Here is an 18,927-nt window from a genome sequence, read left to right as displayed (position 1 = left end):
AGTCCCAGCGGTCTGTGTTCCTTTCCCGCCTCTGCACAGGAAACGGGTCCCGGCCTCCTCTGCTGAGCCCTGTGGAGAAGCTACGCCATGCGCAGTGTGTGTGCGTTGCCGAAGAAAACGGCAGGAGACACCACAAAAGGACCTGGAGGCGGGGCTCAGCACCCCCAGAAGCTCCCTTCTTCTCATGGGGAGGCCGTGCCTCTCACCAACATTTAGGGAATATCGCCAGCTCCAGCTCTGCTTCTTACCCTTAGTTAGAAACTTCTGGTCTGACCCACGAGTTCAGCTCTCGCGCCTGAATTCTGCCTCTCTTCAGCCTGGCACCTGCATGATTTTCAGTTTGGGAGCTACCCCAGATGTGCCAGAGTCCAGCCTGGGCTTCTACTGCCTACCCAGGGGGCATCTGTTTGGGGTGTGGGGTCTGCTTCATCTTGCCAAACCGGGGGCAGGAGTCTTAGACCCACTGGAGCTTTGGATCCTTTACCTCCTGTCCCCTTGCTCTGGACACCTGGCCCAGCTGCGTCCTAGGAGGTAAGAACAACGGGAGCACAAGCACAGAAACAAGAAAGGGCAGGCCTTTTCTCAGAGAATGGAGAGCAAGTCAACAAGCCTGTGGTGTAGGAGACATGGAAAAAAGTGGGGGGCAGGTAAAGCTGGGAAGGGGACCTTGAATGCAAGGCAGAGGATTCTGCACTTAATCGAGTAAAGTAGCGGTGAGCCACTGAAGGCTTTGGAGCAAGGGCGTAGCATTGTAAGAAGGATGTGAGAAGAGGAAGATTGACTGAGTAGCATGGAGGAAGGTGTTTTGCAGGTAAGATTCGGAGAAGGCGGGGCCTGTTAAAGACTCCAGAGATGTGAGACCTGAACTATGTTACTGACAGTCAGAGCAAAAAAAATAGACAATGGCTATTTTTCCAATTGTGGGGGTGGATGTGGGAGACAGAGGAGAAGAGGGAGGGGGAAAGATGGAGCAAGGTGAGAGAATGGCCTTCATGCCAAGTAGATCCTGCTGAGCCTACTGGGTAAATTCCTTCATGGCACCCATACTTAATGGATCCATTTGAGTATCCAATAACCAGGCTTAATTTCTTAATTGCAAAACACACACACACAAGAGAAATACTAGTAGCGTAGCAACCACTTATACAGTGCTTGCTTGGTCCCCAGCATTGTTCTTAGAGTTTTAAGGAATTTACCTTAGTCAATGCACATAAAAATAGTAGCTATATAATAATAGCTACTCTTATTGTCTCCATCTTAGAAGTGAGTAACTTGAGAACCAAGCGGGTTAAGTAACTTGTCCAAAGTCATAACTTGTAGTAGAGGTGAAATTCAAGTCCAAGAAGTCCACTCTTGAGTTCTGGGTTCTGGTTCTAGGCTCTGCTGCCTCTCACACTGAAGATAAAATAACAAATAACTCATCTTCTTATCAGAAAGAAAATGTGACAAATACAGTTGAAGTCCCTTGTGGAAAACACTTTCATGAGCTGACTTTTAAAACTGAGTAGTTCTACATCACTCACAACTGGTTAACCCCACTGACTCAGAGTCATTCATCATGGGTCATTTGTTAGGTAGGGAAGGGAGAGGGGATGTAGCATTTCGTGAGCTGCTATTACATGCCAATGCTATGTTTATGTGTTTTATGTTCACTCTTTTATTTACTGCGAGCAGTATTCCAGATAGATATTATCATCAGCTTTACAGATGAGGAAGTTGAGCCTCAGAGAAATTAAATAACTGGTCGAGGTTGCCCAGGTGATATATGGCAGAGTGGGGGCCTCTTCTCAGTGGCCATGCCTCCCAATTGACGTGGCATCAGCCCCCCAAATGTATATGTAAATCACTGAGCAATAAATATTTACCAGACACCTGCTATATAACAGGTACTATGCCAGAAAGTGGCCACCAGTCCTTGCCTTCAGGGACAACAAGCATGGGAGAGGAGGTTTTCTTTGAGAGAGAGAGCAGGGAAAGAGAAGGTGGGAGGGAGGATGTGCTTGGTGGGATCGCTGCTATCCCAGAGGTTGCTTGAGAACAAGGGGCACAGAGCAGGGAAAGGAAAAGCTTTGCAGAGAATTGGAGGGCTGAGTTGTGAGGCTGCCAGGACAAGGGGAAGAAAGGGCAGAATTCTAAGTACAGGAGCCCACATTTGCTTCCCCACACTACCTTTGAGTAGCGTGATTAATCCTCACTGTAATATCCTTGAGGCATTATTTTTATGAACTTTACACTAATTGTTTAGAGGTTGGAGAAGAACACTGGACTAAAGGAAGGGGGAACTCTGCTCAAGGAGTTGCTTTCTGTGCCCCCAGCAGGAGGGCTGTGGGAGGCAGGCATCCCCTTTGTGTCCCCATAGCACCCTTGTGTCCTTGTGGAACACTTTGTGTCTCCGTGTCCTTCTGTGTTCCCAGGGGACTCTCTGCACAGCCCATCTTAACACTTACTCCATTACCTGCATGTCCTCTGTCCATGTGTCGGTTCCCCCACCCCTACTGTGTGTAAGCTCCTCAGAGAATGGGACCCCCCACTGCCTCTGTCAGGGTCTGGCTCTCAAAGGTGCTTGTCAAATTGAACCTGAATAGAGCCAGCCAGGTCTTCAAGATGCAGCTGCTCCTTCATCTGCTTCCATATCTAATCAAACAGGTCAAGATTATTTCTCTATCCAGAATAGGTCCTTGCAACTTGGATAGCACAAAGAGGCTATAGTGCATTCTAACTACCAAGAACTCTTTCTGTGGGGTCATGAAGCTGATGAAAAACTCTCAGACCCAGCCTCTGCCAATGGACAGTCAGGTGCTCCTGTGCTGCTGCTCTGGGGAACTGATAGTACAAACCCAGCAGAAGCCTCGGAACATTCCAAAGCTGCCTGGAGGGAGCGGGGTCAGAGAGGACTCTCCCACTGTCCTCAGTGTTCCCTGGGATCCCTGAGGGGGCTGGCCATCTAAGAATGGGGGGCCGTAGGCTAAGAGTCCAGAGGGATGACCACTCACCACCCTCCCCTGCAACAGCTGGCTTCAAGACATACAGACCAAGGCAGCTTCAGGGTAATAGCCAACCAGAGCTGGCCACAGGCAGATGTGTTCCAACCACCGGAAGTAGTTCAGCTTTCAGAGCCAGAAGCTACAATGTCAGAGGCATGACTTGAAGATTTCATCCCTTCAGCTGCTGGGAATTCTCCATTATAAAACAAGCAATTCCTGTAAAAACAAGTGTGATGATCTCTGCCTCTTCTCTGTCGAGTCTTTCTAACTTCAACAGCCCAACTATATTGCCTTGAATTCTGTATTTCTGTGGCAGAATGAAAAAAAGGTCTAGAATACTGAGCATGAACAGAACTTTGAACAGAGGATCTCTAGTCCAACTGCAGCTTCATGCAGCCCTGTCCCCAAACTATAGCAACTACTTACTTCCATTTTTAAAACAACTTTAGAAATCATTATTAATTTACTCAAATCCAATCAATAATTAGTGGACACCTACTAAGTGCAAGTAACCAGGTCTACTGAGGCTACAGTGAGCTAAGATCTTCAGACCCTGCCTGTAACTGCTGTGAGAGGAAGGTGGTGTTATCCTGATCCACAGGGCAAGAAACAGTGCTCAGAGAAGTGCAATAACTTATCAAAGGCCACACAGCAAGTAAGGGGGCAGGCAGAGCTGGAACCCACTTAGCTACAGATTCCAGGCCCCTCTTCTCTTTCCTTTTCGGCCCCTGTTCTCTTTCCTTTTCGCCTAGAAAGTTGCACTTTTAGAAAAATCTAATTTAAAAAACATGAGAATAATATTATATATAGTGTAACTGAGAAGCTCAAGATGTAACATATTTTTCAAATTGTCTTTTCCAATCAAGACAAGAAAAGCTAAGGTTGTGAGATGACAATACTTTGGCCAGTTTGATTGAATAAAAGGATATTCAACCCACTAAAGGGCCATGCCAGCTAGCTTGGTCTCTTTAAAAAGCTCAAGTTTCTATTTTTTTTTTTTTAATCAAGGTAATAGTTGTTTGAAGTGATGCTTACATATAGAAATCCCCTACTCCGCAACGACTCCCTTTCCCCAGAGACAGCCATCCTTCACACTTCTAGGTCCTGCCCCTGGCATTTACCTCGACAATTTAAAAATTATTCTGCTATTTCTTGAAATATGAGTTTTAGACATTATCTATTGACTTCATGCCATGGTAGATAAGGACTTAGTTTTTCCACACCACTGCTCACATTTTTCTCCTTTTATCCTTGTGACATGTTTATAAAATAATTTTTGGTAAAATCAATAATCAGCATTTATGTGCTAAACCAAATAGTGAATTACAATAAACCTCCTTTCTTGTACAATCTTTTGTTTTTCCTGGAATTAATAATAGCCTCAGTATTTTTTTCGCTTCCCTAGTTTTCTATCTTTCATGCTTTTCTCCAAATTTTCCAACATGTCATAATAACACTTTCCATAATCTCAAGCAAATCATCATTTCCTTTTTTTCTTTTCCTTAAGAGCCTTCACTCAGGAGGCTCTCTGATCAAATGTTCCAGTGTTATTAGTTGCTTTCTACATGTGCTGCATAGTAAACATCCTAGGAATTTTCTTCTCCAATCTCTAATTTGTGTTTCCCTCTTTTCTGAAACATAAAACCATGTATCTTCCTATTTCATAACTTACTTCTTTTTCATTTCTTTGTTTTTTTGTTTGCTATACAACATTCTCATGTACATTTCTAAGAATGCATGCATCAGAGGTCAATTTTTTGAATTTGATTTTATAAAGGTATAACATTTGAATTTGAAAAATGTCCTTATTAAATTCTAAGATGAAAATCATTTTTCTTCCGAATCCTGAAGGCATTGTTGTCAAGTTCTATGAAGAGTCCTGAGATTTCACCCTATGTATAAGCTAACAAGTTAGCCTGCCACAGTTTCATGGAGACTGATAGAAGACACAAGACACCTGGATCAGAGATAAAGGCAGTTTAATACTCACAGCAGTGGGAGAAGTCAGGATATCAGCATTGTTTGTACAGATTCCCCTAACCAGGGCCAAATGTTGCCATACCCACACAATGGGTAGCATTACAAGAAAGGAACCCTGAGCTTAGGGAGCCCAAACCTTTATGATGGGCATGCTTGCCTTTTACTCTGGAGGGAAACATTGTTTCTACCTTCCAAGGCTGTTCATTATACCAACATGCTGGAAAAGGTAGTCCAGACAAAGGGCAGTCAGTGCTATTCTCCTGAGACACTGAGAAATGCACAAGACATAATAAATTGCTAAAAATTGTTTTATTGTCCTCTGGTTTCCACTACTGCCCCCAAGCAGTCTGATATCAATGTAATCATTTTCTTTAGCTTGTTACTGTTTCCCCCTGTCCCTGGAAGCTTTTAAACATCTCTTTATACCTGGTTTTCTGATCTTTCCAAATTTCAATTTGGAAACCCTACATCCCGTGTTTTTGGAGTTTTATTCTTATACTATTTCTTTGATTGTTAGATGGCATCTTTCCCTTCATACACCCTTATGGAATTCTCTCATTTTCTTTGGATTTGTTTCTTTGCTTTGTTCTCTTTCAGCTTGGAAGATTTTCTCAAATTTGTAATCATCTATGGCTGTAAGAGTATTTCTAAGAACAAGACACTAAAACAACTGCAAATGCTGTGTCCTGATTAGGCAGCACATACCGTCTGGTGAGCTGAACCATAGGGTGATCGAAGGTGATCTGGCCTTTTCATTGGTGGGATCGCAATAGTCAATATTCGTAGGTGTTCGCTCTTGGTTTCTCCAGTTTCTCTAGCGAACAATCTATTGGTTTCCTGCCTGGGAGATTTATGCCAGGCTTGACTTTCTGGACATAAGGCAGAAGAATAGAGAGAGGTTACCACATTGCAGAAACCACATTTTTGTGGAAGAGAACAAATAAATGCTTTTGATAAACCAAAGCCTCTTGACACTGGTGTCCTCACTGTGCTCTACCCTCATTCTCTCGGGGAGAGGCTGAGACTTCTCTCATAATGCAGGAAGAATCACTTAAAAATAGATTGAATCAACAAGGGGCATGATTCAAAACCTTACCCATCCGCACTGACTGGGCTCTGTCACACAGACACTGCTATTCTTTGAGGGTCTGTCTGCGGGGGCAACACTGATGCAGGACAGCCTGAAGACAGAACTAGGGTTCATGACTGCATTTGCACATGAAGCTGTCTTTGGAAGATGCTGCTTCCCTTTTTCTTTTTATGTAAGCTGACCTTGGTTTCTTGAGCCTCAAGGTGTCATTTGCTTTGCTTTTTAATTTTTTTCTTTACCAAGTGTTTGTTTTATCACATTCAGTTTCTGAGCATCTGTTTCATGAAGACCTTGAAGACCCCCCACCTGTTAGTAAACCCTTATGAAGTCTCTAATTAAGTTTCAAGGCCACTGCTATGATGAAGCCTTCTTCAGACATCACCTGGCTAGCACAGGCACTCACACAGCAGGAAAGCCCGTAATCTCTTCTGACAGTGCATCTGAATCTCAGAATCTCAGTGGCTGGAGCCTGGGAATCTGTATTTTGAGAAAATCCTCTAGGTGATTCTGGTGACCTACTAATTCACAGGGGTCTGTGTGCCCTTTCCTCCCATGTCTCATGCCGGAATTTGGGGTTCTAATATTGTAGCCCATATGTCCCTGGTGCCAACTACCTGCCCACTTGAACATGGGCTGATCCACTGCCCTAGCTAGACAGAGCCTTAATGCCAGACTTTGACTTTTCCATGATCCCTCAACTATGATCCTCCCAGCATGACTTTTCTCTGTCCTCCCACTGGCCTCCTGGTCTCAGGCTGGCTTTATGGACTTACCTGCCCTTGCCAGGCCTCATGTCCTGACCCCTCACCCACCATTCCCCCAACTACCCATGCACTCAAGTCCTAATATCTTTCCCCACTCTGCCTGGACCATACTGATGCCTCCTGTGTATCCTGATGCCTCCAGGTCCAGCGAATAGAAAGGATGATATTGGTAGGTATGTTTTCTCTAATGAGAGATGCAGACAAGGAACACTGAGGAGGAAGTGATGGCTTCAGACTGGCATCTCAGGGAGGTTTCGCACTGAAATAGGATTTCAGCTGGAGTTTTAGTGGGAGAGCATCTTTGTATATTCATAGAAGGGGAAGTCAAATCTAGAAAATACTTCATAAATGCCTCCTATTATTACAATACAAGTACTACTATTACTATTTCTACTAATAATCGTGTATCTCATCATTGAATCTCTACCATTGGATAAGCACAGCATATATATTGATTTACATATATTATTTGAGAGTTTTCAACAACCCTACAAGGGAGACATGATTATCCCCATTTCAGAGATACAGAAAATGAGATACAGAGAAGAATGGTTTTCTCAAGACCTCAAGAGTACTAAGTGCTAAAAGGAAGACTAGCAGCTCAGTCTCCTGACTGATTTCTTCGCGTTTCTCAGTATGTCCCACTGCTTCCCTGAAATTGAAGAATGCAGCTCTCTCCTCTGGGAGGAACAGTCTCCTCTCTATCTTCCCAGAGAGAAATCTGCAAATAAAACTCAAATCAAATCATCCTGTGGGTCCCCGCCCTCAGCATGTAGACCACCGGGCTCCTCCTTTACTGGTGGCCATTACTGTGGTGGGTGAAATGTGGCAAATCGTGATATTGATGATTCAATGGCCAGGAGAGTTGTCTGAAAGGCAGGGTGGCATGGGGAGACCACAGGTTCATTTTCTTCTACACCCCTCTTTTTCATTCCCCAGAGCTTTCTGAGACATTTGCTCCAAGACTAAAAATACTCACGGTTTAATGCAGCCCTAGATCCAAATTATTTTATAAAACTTGTTAAGTGCTTTTAGAGTTAGGCAAGCAAGAAAATACTTGAGTTTTGTTCTAATGAAAGCCATTTTTAACATTTAAAATTATAGAAAACAGCCATACTCCTGCCCTTCAGACTCCACAGTATTTGCCAACGTGCTGTGGTACAAAGGCCTTTAAGTATACAATACATGAAAATCTAGGTTTACAGAAAAGCTAAATTAAAGGAGATTATTTGTTCTGTGCAGGATGCCTTTGTACAGGAATCCCAGAAATTGAAAAACTTGAGTCCCAGGTCTGCCACTCGCTGGCATAACCTGCACCTCAGTGTACACCTCTGTAAAATGGAGAGATGAAGGATGAAGCTGCTTCCCCTCACCCACAAGGTGGTCATGAGAATCTGATGAGATGTGGATTGTAAGCAGTGGGGTTCTATACAAAGGTAAAGCATCTTTGATGAGAGAAGTAGAGGGCTAGGGTAAGGGGAGAAGTCCCTGTCCAGGGTGGCACACCTGGGTTGTTGGTGGGCTGGCCTCCTACCTAGTCAAGCTTGTGAACAGTCTAACCTGGGTCCCCACAGCAATGGGAGGAGGAGCTGTTCCAAGTTCCATTATCCTGCACAGTATACCCCGCAGTCCTGCTATTCAGTTAAACACCGCAGCTCCTGAGTACATTTTAATTTCTGATCATTAGTTACAAGATTTTCTTGTTAATTCTGATTCAGCAGATTTTGCTGAGACAGCTCTATTTTTCTCGCCCTTTATTTTGGTCGTGCTGCACAGTCCCTATCTAGACAGATAATAAATCCGGGTGGCTAACCTCCCTCCCAGGAATGAATCATCTGCAACTCTGAAAAGGACACAGCCGCAGGGGTGGTGACAGGGAGGAGTCCTACTCCCAGGCTTCTTTACAGGTGACTCTGGGGGATCTTCGTGATTCTGGCCCCAGGACACAATCCTGTAAGTAATTACACTGGGAGATAACAAGACTCACCCAGAACTCAACAGTAGGAAAATTGGGAGGTGGGGGTGGAGGGGGGGACAATACAACTCATGGCAATTCAACAAAATAAGGCTCCTGCTTTCTGCCTCTTTTTATTAGATCACAGGTATCATGTGACTGAATTTGCCACAGATTTAGCTAACCTGGGAGACATCACCAGAATTTTGCAACCAGCAAGATTAGTTTGGGGCCCTGCACCCTCCTCTTCTCCTTCTTTCCTTGTGCCTAGTTGCCTGCCAATGGCCATTGGTAGGAACAGGCTTATTCTCCTCCTTTCAGGTAGGCAACTTCCATCCCCACCCCCGGCCTCCCAACCCTACATCTAGGAAAACAATGAGCTCATCCATGCTAAATTGTTGTTCCAGTTGTAACACCCTTCCCAGCGACCAGTGAGATTTGTAGACATTATTAATAAGAGCTAACACTCATGCAGCATTTGCCACATGCTGGCCACTCTTCTTAACCCTTTTTTGATATTAACTATCTTCACTGCCACATCAGCTCTATGAAGTGGGGGTAATAATTACAGTATCCCTATTTTACAGATGAGGAAACTGAGGCACAAAACATCACACTATTCTCTGTAGTCACCCATGTAGTAGGCAGCAGAGCTGGTATTGGGTCCCCAGTTGCAGAGTCCATGCCCTCAGTCCACTGTACTTTATTGATGCAATCTTTTTTTGTCACAAGATGCTGCTAGAGTGGCCTGGTGCAGCAGCAAGCTAGCTCAGTCTTAGAGTGCAGACAGATGGCTAGGCTCAGACCTATGACAGGAATGGGGCTGGAATGGAAGGAACAGACCTAGCAGGTTGGCTCAGAGGAAGCCCCATCTAGTGGAGTCCAATCCAATTAAGTAGCAGTCCAGGCAAGCAATTCATGTCATAGAGGCTGACAAAGGGTAAAAGGATGTCCCAGACCAACAGGTCATGCAGGGAAAGAAACAGCAGTACAGGCATCAAGGACAAGTGCCAGCAGACTACAGGTCCCAGGTTGCACCCCCAGCTGAGGTAGGCATGGGAGCAGGAGTCATGAGTAAGTTAGAAAACCCTACCTCACACTATAAACACAAATTAGCTCAAAAGGTATCAATGACCTAAGAGTAAAAGCCAAAACCAAAAACCCTTGGAAGAAAACTAGGAGTAAATCTTCATGACCTCAGATTTTGCAATGCTTTCTTAGGTATGACATCAAAAGCATGAGCAACAAGAGAAAAAAGAGATAAATTGGACTTCATCAAATGTAAAACTTATGTGCGTCAAAAGGTATTATCAAGAAAGTGAAAATACAATCCACAGATATTGCAAATCGTATCTCTGGAGAGAATTTAATATCCAGAATATATAAAGAACTTTTATTTTACAACTGGACAACAAAAAGACAACTTACCTGAAATAAAACTGGAATTAAATAGACATTTCTCCAAAGAAGACATACAAATGGCCAAAAAGCACATGGAAAGATGCTCAACATTATTAATCACTGGAAAAATGCAAGGCAAACTACCATGAGATACCATGCACTAGGATGGCTATCATATGAAAAATTAATTAAAAAAAAGAAAATAATTATTAGCAAGGATATGAAGAAATTGAAACCGTTACACATTGCTGGTAGGAGTGTAAAATGTCAGCTGCTGTGAAAAATAGTTTGGTGGTTTCTCAAAAAGTTAAACATAGAGTTACCATTTGACCTAGGAATTTCAGCCCCACATATATCCCTGAAAAAAACTGAAAAGAGCTACTTAAATACATGCACAAACACTTTCATAGACTCACTATTCACAGTAGCCAAACGTGGAAACAATTCAAACGTCCATCAATGGAAGAATGGATAAACAAATGGTGGTGTATACATAAAATGAAATATTATTCAGACATGAAAAGTAGTAAAGTACTGATACATGCTACGATGTGGATGAACCTCAAAAACATTTTGCTAAGGTCTCATATTGTATGATTCCATTCATATGAAATATCTGAAAAGTCAATCCATGAAGACAGAAGGCAAACTGGCAGTTGCCAGGGGCTTGGGGAAATGGAAAGTAAATGCTTAATGGTACAGGGTTTTCTCTGGGGGTGATGAAAATGTTTTGGGACAAGATCAAGGTGTTGGTTGTACAAGATTATGAATGTACTAAAGGCCATTAAATTCCTCACCTTAAAATGGTTAGGTTAATTTTTTGTTTTGTGAATTTCACCTCACTCTAAAAAGAAAAATAAAAGAGTAACTTAGGACTTTAGAACATCCATGGCATCAGGCAGGGACCAAGACAGGCTCCCTGTTACTTAAATGGAGGTACAAGTAAGATAGGACGCAAATCTTTCGTACCTGGTGGTAGCCCAGTTATGTGGTACAAGGGGGACCTCAGGCTAAGTCTCACCCTATAGAGCCAGTGCTCCTGGAGCAGGTTTAGCCCTGGAAGAGAGGCAGGGTCAGAGCCAGCAGGAAAAATGATCTGTGTCCAGCCAGGCAGAGAGGAACCTGAGATTCGCTTTTCAGGTGGGAAGTTACCAGCAGCTGCTCCAGGTGGGCAGCGAGGGGAGGCAAAAACGAGTGGCCACAGGACACAGCGCAGCTTCCTGGAATTCAGGCATTTCTGGCCTCTCTCTCTCTCAATTGTTGTGTAAGCCTGGGGGTTTAGACCAAAGCATTTGGTGATGATGAATCTCAAACACAAAGGAACAAGCAGAGGGGGTGGGGAAGTAGGGAGTGTTCTGTTGTTTAGAAAATGAGCAAAACAGCTGGAGGTAAAGCTTTTGTTATAGGCTGCCATCTCTGATTCATGCGTCTTTATAATCCTGACTATGGTTTGAGGCAGCCAGGAAGAGCGAATATTACCTCTCATGCTGCACCCACCAGCATGGGGTTTATTAGAAGTAGACAACCATTTAGCAATGTCAGGAGTGTGCTTATCATTGTGCAGAGTAGGCATTGCCTGAATGGGGAGCCACTTCTTCTTGGATGCCCAAGGGAGTGTGTTCAGAAAGTCCAAGGCCCAGCAGAGGAATTCTGGGGCTCAAAGGGGAAGCTCTGGCTACTAGAAAGGACTGGGTGTCCAGCCTGAAACAGGCATGGAGGCCTCAGCCTGGAGTGAGCAGAGCCAAGCTTTGGCGACAGAGAGTTGGGGGCCTTCCAACTTCCCTCTTCACCATCAGTTGGGAGTAGCAGGAAAGGAGAAATTGTGAAAAGGAACAAGAGGGCTTTGACATCCCCGTTGTATGTACCCACACACTCTCTACCTCCTTCCTGAGGCCATTCCTTCCTTTTCATTTCCCCTCAGTCTGCCTTTTGCTCACAGTCTCTCCAGATCCATCAACTACTTCCCTATCCAAATTCTAATGTCATGGCCAAGCAGAACCACTGCTGGTTTCCGGGATGGCCTGCCACCTGGGCCGTTTCCAGGGTGTTCTCACTACCTCTTCCTGTGACTGCTTCTGGTCCTGCGTGGTGGGTCCTTCCCCTCCACCCCACCTTTCGCCATCTTACCCCACCTGAAAGGCCAGTTTGCATAGTCTCCTTTTTGAAGTCTTTCTTGGTTGCCCAACAAGATATGCCCTCCCTATGGCTGAACAAGCTCTCTTGAAAGCTTATCTTGTGCTGTTTCATATTATGGCTATTTCTGGACTTCTCTTAACCCCCCTTACATACACCTACTTTATGTGTTCACCCCTGGATCATCTCACACCAGCACAGGGGAGACAATAGGTGTTTGTTGGATGGACAGATAAATGAATGAATAAATTCTCCCAACCTGCATCAGGTGGAAGAGTCTCCAGGACACTGTTGAAACATACAAAAATCCCTGTTCCACCAACTGCGCCTCAGCCTGCAGAAAGCCCATCTATAGAGTCTCACTTAGAAAGTGTGTGAGAAGGAAGTAAGGCAGGGGCTCAGGGACCAGGCCCTCCATCTCCCTGGGGAATGTGCTGGCCCTCCCTATGGCATCAAAAGGGACCAGACCCGGAAAGCAAAGACAAAGGAAGTGGATGAATTTCTTTTTATCAAAACTGAGATGGGTCAGTCCTAGGCATACTAGGACATTAGCTAGTGGGGAAGGGCAGAGAACCTGGGCTGGTGGGAGAGGACCGGCAGCAGGAATGTTCAGGACTCAGCAGGTTCCCAATTCCCATTGTCTTTCCAGGTGACTGGAACATGTCAGGCAGGACTGGGCGGTTGGGGGTAGGAGCAGGCCCAGCCAAGTGAGCTGGACCTCTCAATGGGGTCCTCTCCCTGCACAGCCCCTGGGAGTCCATTCAAGAGAGATGGCAGATGCTTGTCTTCCTCATGGTCTGAGCATCACAGCAGGCCAGGGAAGGGAAGACCCGACCAGATGAGCCGCAGGCACACCTGATAAGGGTAGACCACTTAACCCCTGACCCTGGGGTCTAAGCTAGAGGCTACCACTGTGTGCCTGGCTGGGTGTCAGGACTGGCTGGTGCCAGACAGGGCCAGGCCTGTGCCCAAAGGACCCACAGCTCTGCAGGGCTGGCAAAGGAGGGGCTGCTCCCAGCACCCACCCTAAGACCTCTCTTTGCTTGGGCCCTTTCCTCCAACCCTGAATTCCAAGAAACGAAGCAGGAAAGAGGAGAAGTGAGCCAGCAAAGGAGGAAGCAAAGGAGGTAAAGAAGAAAGGAAACCAAGGGAGAGCGGTAGGGATGATGGAGGTTTTTAGGGACCTAAAACATAACTTATGAGGCCTCACTTAAAAATTACAGATGCAAAACTGAGTATTGATTGAGGCTTGGAAGAGATCCAGGCCGGAGAGTGGCCCTAAACCTAAGCTTTATTACCATCCAGGTAAATCAGCCTCTGCCCAGGAATAATTTGTATACAGGAGGTGGGATGGGGGCATGTGGAGGAGGGAAACTGAAGTATCCCATGGAAGTGCTTGAGCGCCCTCCTCCCACCTGCCCTGCATACCTCCCTGACTCCTCCCTAGCATACCTGGCTGGGCTGCCCAAGCTACTCACTCCCATCCTTCCCCCTCCCATCCTTCCCTCTCCTCCCTCCTCCCAATTAAAAAAATCTGTTTTGTATTTCCTGCGTGCAGTACCCTTAATATTAGGTCTGAAAACAATTTGCAATCAGTTGTACTAATTAATCTAATTGAATTTAATTTCCCTTTCTTGGCGTTAGGGGTGAGTGAACTCCATATGCTGACTTATGTAAAGCAATATGCAAATTTGTATCTTGAGCCCAGAGCCCTGCAAATGCTTTTGATTACAAAAAAGGCTACACGGAGGCCCTAGATAAATGAAACACTCACTGCGGCTTCTGGCCTGACACTCCTCTCTTCCAGCAGTGAGATACAATATACCTCTGTTATGCCACCTGTGGCTTGGTTGCCTGTTCCTGTCCCGAAATGGCACTGTTGAGTCCCTGCAACAGGTCCCCATGTACCTGGGTAGCATATTTTCTACTTAAACTCTCAAGAATCTGGGTTCCTCCACTTTGTTCTGCTGCTGATCCTTTTCCCTGGGCCCCTCATTAAGCTCAGGAGTAGATCCTAGCGTTTGCTGGGAAGGCTGTCTGATGAGCACCCTAGTGGTTTGGAGAGGTGGTGGGTGGTACCGGTTGCTCCAGCTCCTCCAGCAGAGGTCAGCTGGAGGCCTTGGGTGGAGGAATCTGGCTAAGCGCAGGGATACCATGCATGTAGCCCCCCAACTACTTCCCTTATCTCCCAGGGAGAGGGGCATGGTGTCACCCATGGATGATATGAGCCACTATTAGCCACAGGCTGAGTCAAGGGTCCCTCGTAGAGCCCTGTTCCGAAGGGCTGCCACATGGGGAGGTGCTGAGAAGAGACACTGGGCACCATGGCTGTGACACACAAAAGGCTTATGCCCCTGGTCTTTCAGCTCAGTTAAAACCCAATGTTTTAGTTTTGTATTTGCTTCCAAATACCACAAAGTATGGGAGGGGAATTGCATGGTGCAGAGAAGAAACAAGATTGGCCATGAGTTAAAAACTGTTGAAGCTGGGTGATGATTCATTGGGGGCATATTATGCTTTTCTATTTCCATATCTTTGTAATTTTCCTTAATAAAAGATTTTTAAAGTCCTAATTCTGAAGCTGGATCTAAAAACTGGACTTACTTCCAACTGAATGGGAGCTACAAAGAGAATGAGAAAAGTCAAAGGAGGCTTTCTTGTCACCTTCTGCCACACCTAGGCCAGTGTGAACAAAGGCCATACTCTCATCCCACCTCCCCAGGCTGGGTAAAGTAGGTGCCATCTGAGTTGCAGAGGGGCAAGGGTGGAGGTGTTGTCCCAGCCACCTGCCAGTCCTGTGACTCTCTGAGTCCACTTATTTGGAAGGACAACAATCCTAAAAGCAGGTACAGCCAGTAAAACAATAATGAAATGGACTATGGTATGGCAGAGAGATAGGAGAGGATGAAGGAAGACCCAGCTGGGTTTTTGTAATGTTCTTGCAAGAAAAAAAAAGTGAGGGTTTGAATTAGGGCAGGGATAATGGATATGGGGAGGAAGGCACAAATTAGAAACATTCCCGAGCATAATCCATAGGATTTAACTTTACCTAGATATGAGATATGGGTGGGCAGGCAGCCTCGGAGACTGCTCCAGAATGCTTAAGTTGGTGGCAAAACCATTCACTGAGACAAGAAACACAGGTCAGGGAGGAGTTTAGGGTAGTTGAGAAGAAAAGCAAATGTTTTTTCTTGTCCAAATTTAATTTCAAGCAACAACAAGAATCCAACTGGAGCTATCCAAGGAGGTTAGGAATTTGAACCTGGAGCTGCAGAAAGAGGTAAGAGCTAGAGAGAAAGATGTGGAGGTCACAGGCATGTCAATGTCAGACCAGTGCATAGGGGAGTGAGGGCATCCTGGGAGAGAAGAGGGCCAAGGAAGGAATCCCAGGGAATCCCAGCATTTAGGCGGCAGGAGGAGGAAATGGACACAGCAAAGAGCAACTGAGATACAAAATAAAAGGAGCAATCCAATTGTGAGAAGCAGAATCAGATAAACAGTCATGGAAGCCACAAGAGGAGAGAATTCCAGAAAGAGTGTTTAATGAGCTCACATGCTGCAGAGATGTAAAATGAGGAGCTCATAAGATTTCATACAAAGGTATCACCATGGACCATGGCAAAAGCTTAAAGAATTTGTGTAAACACATATCTTTTGCACTCAAAAATTATATAATACTTAAGAAACCATTTTTTAAAAATAAAAGTAATTTCCAAGTCTAGGTTTGTTATGCATAAAATTCACCTTCTTAAAATACACCTTTCCTTCTAGTGTATTAAATATACTTGAAACATTATTTAAAAGTGTTCACGAACAATGAACAACTTTCCAATTTAGCCTCTGATGGGAGGAAGAGTGTATTAGTAAGAATAAATGCAGCTGAAAAGGCAGAGGGTGGAAGATAAGAATGGATTCATTAGGGATGACTTAAAGGGGCCCCAAAGGCCTATCCGGCCCCTTCCTCCTTCGTGTAGGACTTCACTTTACCACTGCTATTTAAAAAAATCTTTCCCTTCATCCCACATTTTATTTAACCAAAATTTACTGAAGAAGTAGTGCCAGGCACATACAACATGCTGGAGATTTTAAAAAGAGAGAGAGATTGAGATTAAGACAAACCCCGGCCATTGAAGAGTCAATTCAGGTGAGGAATTATGAAGCTCCCAGAGGCATTTTATGACAGAGGCTTGCCTGAGGTCATGCCCATCAGACAGAGCTGAGCCCCATGCCCCTGACCTAGCTGGGGGCTCCTCCCACAAAGCCTTGGCTGCCTCACATGGTTACTCAGAGACCTCTTCCTATGGACATCTAGGCATCTTGGTGGGTCTTGCATCAAGAGGTGGGCCGGGACTTCAGAGGAAGCCAGACAAAGGCAGCAAAGTCAGAGATCAGGGTTCGAGCCCACCAAGACCCTTGACTAGCACTTTGGACTGTTCTCTGTCCTCCTCCACACCCTGTGGGGGTCCCTTATCTCTTCCAGGTGCAGAGCAAAGTCTACTTTAAGATGGCTGCGTGGGACCAGGGACATTTCAGCCAGATGCTGTGACTCTTCAGCCAAAGAGCATGGCTTTATTTCCAAGTGGCTGCGGGTCTGGGCTTTCACTCTGTCTGCCCTGAAGCCTTCCTGATTACTAGTCTCAGGGGAAGACTGTGATTACCCTGCTCCTCCTCTGTGGAGAGAGGGGAAGATGGTGGAGAAAAGCCATGTTTCTGTGCTCACCTGATAACACACCAGAGACAAGTTTGGGGGCGGGAGAGATATTAACACTCCCAGCAGGAAAATAAACCTGAGGAATGTCCAACTCCTTTCCTGTGGAGCAGCCTCCTGAGGAAGAGGGCTAAGGACTTGGGAGCTCGGGGCCTGATCCTTACTCACCTCCATATTCTTGTACCTAGCATAAGACCCAGAAATGGCACCTGACAACAAGAGATCCCAAATAAATGTGAGGAAATGAAATCGACATCAAGCCAGCATAGCCAGATTCACATTAAATGTGTTCTGGAAAAGTTGGATCTAATTAAAATTTTGCACATCAAATAATATTTTAATGGCAGCAAGGGAGCTCACTGCTTAAAGGAACCCTATGAGGAATCTTACTGTAGACAGAATTACCCCCTTCCTCATCCTTTAGTTTTTAATTTTCTATTTTCATAAACTAGGTTATGTTCATCCCAAGCCTGTGCACATTCTTTAGTTCTTTCAGATGTAATATCTCCTCAGCGCCGCAAAGGATCTTATTAGACCCTGAGATCTTGGTCTATATATTTGGAGACTCTCAAGATGACCTTTAACTCCTTTTTTTCTTTGTCTGAGAAAACACATGTTTATGGCCCTCTGGTCCATAGAGGAGTCTTGTTTGATCTCTACTCAGCAGGAATGGGTGGCATCTTGGAACCAACCAAATACCTATGGGATGTGAACTGATGAGCACAGTGCCAGGATAACTATGCACACATCAGGCTGCCATGCTTATCAGGACCCATGGTTGGCTACGCTGTTCCTCAAGGAGACTTTCCTTTGTTGGTTGCCCCTCTCTGAACCTCTCCTACTCATTTGGTGGCTCTGACTTTCTCATCCCACACAGGCCTCCCCAGGGCCTTATAGTTCAGACAGCTGGGCAAATAGGAAGAAAATCTGTGCCTAGGGTTCCAGCCCCTAAGGATTTACTGCCCAGCACCCCAGGGACCAGCCCCACTCTGGGTGCAAAGAAACATGGTGGCCTCATGACTAGATTGTCCTCCAGAGTCCCCAGTCTCACTGTGTGTGGCTCATTGGAAGACACTTGTAAAGAAAGTCAGATTCAGATTCAGATATTAGGATGTGTTGAACTCCTTTTATAAGCCAGGTTCTCTGTCAGGTGCATTTGTGTATGTAAAAATGCATGACATCATGGGTAACATAGGCCAGAAATTGAATCCAACATTCACCTTTCTAGCTGTGTTATATTAAGCAAGTTGTTTTCTACTGCCAAAATATTTCTGTATGACAGACCATCTGAAGTTTAGCAGTAAATTTTAGTTAAAGCGGTAACTTTATTATTGCCCCAGAGAGCAAATACAAACTCTAGTGGTTAGAGAAATTCAGCCCCAAGCTCTCTGCTTCCTCTTCTCTCTCATATATCTGTGCAGGGCTGCTACTTCCACCCATATTCACATCTCTTCCCCTGGTAAAATGTGCAGCACCTAAAGCCAAGAATCCTTCACCTCTGTTCTCCACTTTTGGATAGGTCAGAACTTGAGAAAGAATTCAGATTCAATGTTTATCGAGCTCTTCCTCTGTGCCACTTGTTGTGCTAGACATTTCATTTCCTTCATTCTATCCACAGAACAACACTCCGTTATTGTGACTATTTTAAAGCTGGAGAAACTGATTCCTATAGATTGACTATGATGTGGAAGAACCTAGATTAAAATCCAGGCCTCCCGACGCCCTAGTCAGCGATCCTTGTTCTATATACACTGTGGTGAGTATGTTTGGGCCAAAATAGTGGGTACCACATTGCAGTAGGAAAACTAGCCTAAGCAAACTGCTCTGGAGACAGGGATGGTGGTGTCATGTGTATCCATCCATGAGGACACTACAAGGTCTAAATACAGATGTTTACACAATAGTGTGTAGGT

The 18,927-nt window shown here is 45.0% G+C and overlaps 1 protein-coding gene and 1 long non-coding RNA gene across 4 annotated transcripts in view, besides 1 other annotated feature; both read left to right on the top strand.

The window, feature by feature from the left end:
• GALNT14 (polypeptide N-acetylgalactosaminyltransferase 14) overlaps positions 1-10,977 on the top strand; it is a 251,659-nt gene extending 240,682 nt beyond the window's left edge. For all 3 annotated transcript variants that reach the window (XR_007081588.1, XR_001738943.2, XR_001738941.2), the window contains one exon: positions 40-10,977. The gene's annotated coding sequence lies outside the window, so the exon portion shown is untranslated. The remainder of the gene's footprint in view (positions 1-39) is intronic.
• Positions 10,741-11,631: an enhancer, noted in NCBI's record as "OCT4-NANOG-H3K27ac hESC enhancer chr2:31108994-31109884 (GRCh37/hg19 assembly coordinates)". NCBI's record gives its function as "activates a minimal SCP1, AML or CMV promoter by ChIP-STARR-seq in naive and primed H9 embryonic stem cells {active_cell/tissue: H9 hESC(naive and primed)}" and the evidence as "EXISTENCE:reporter gene assay evidence [ECO:0000049][PMID:30033119]".
• The window catches only part of LOC124905982 (uncharacterized), a 69,911-nt gene continuing 69,636 nt past the window's right edge, over positions 18,653-18,927 (top strand). Inside the window, exon 1 of the long non-coding RNA XR_007086268.1 lies at positions 18,653-18,770. This is a non-coding gene — a long non-coding RNA (uncharacterized LOC124905982). The remainder of the gene's footprint in view (positions 18,771-18,927) is intronic.

Source organism: Homo sapiens, chromosome 2 (genome assembly GCF_000001405.40).
Source record: "Homo sapiens chromosome 2, GRCh38.p14 Primary Assembly".
NCBI classification, from domain to species: domain Eukaryota; kingdom Metazoa; phylum Chordata; class Mammalia; order Primates; family Hominidae; genus Homo; species Homo sapiens.
Note: the sequence above shows the minus strand (reverse complement) of the source record. Positions and strands in the feature narration are given on the sequence as shown.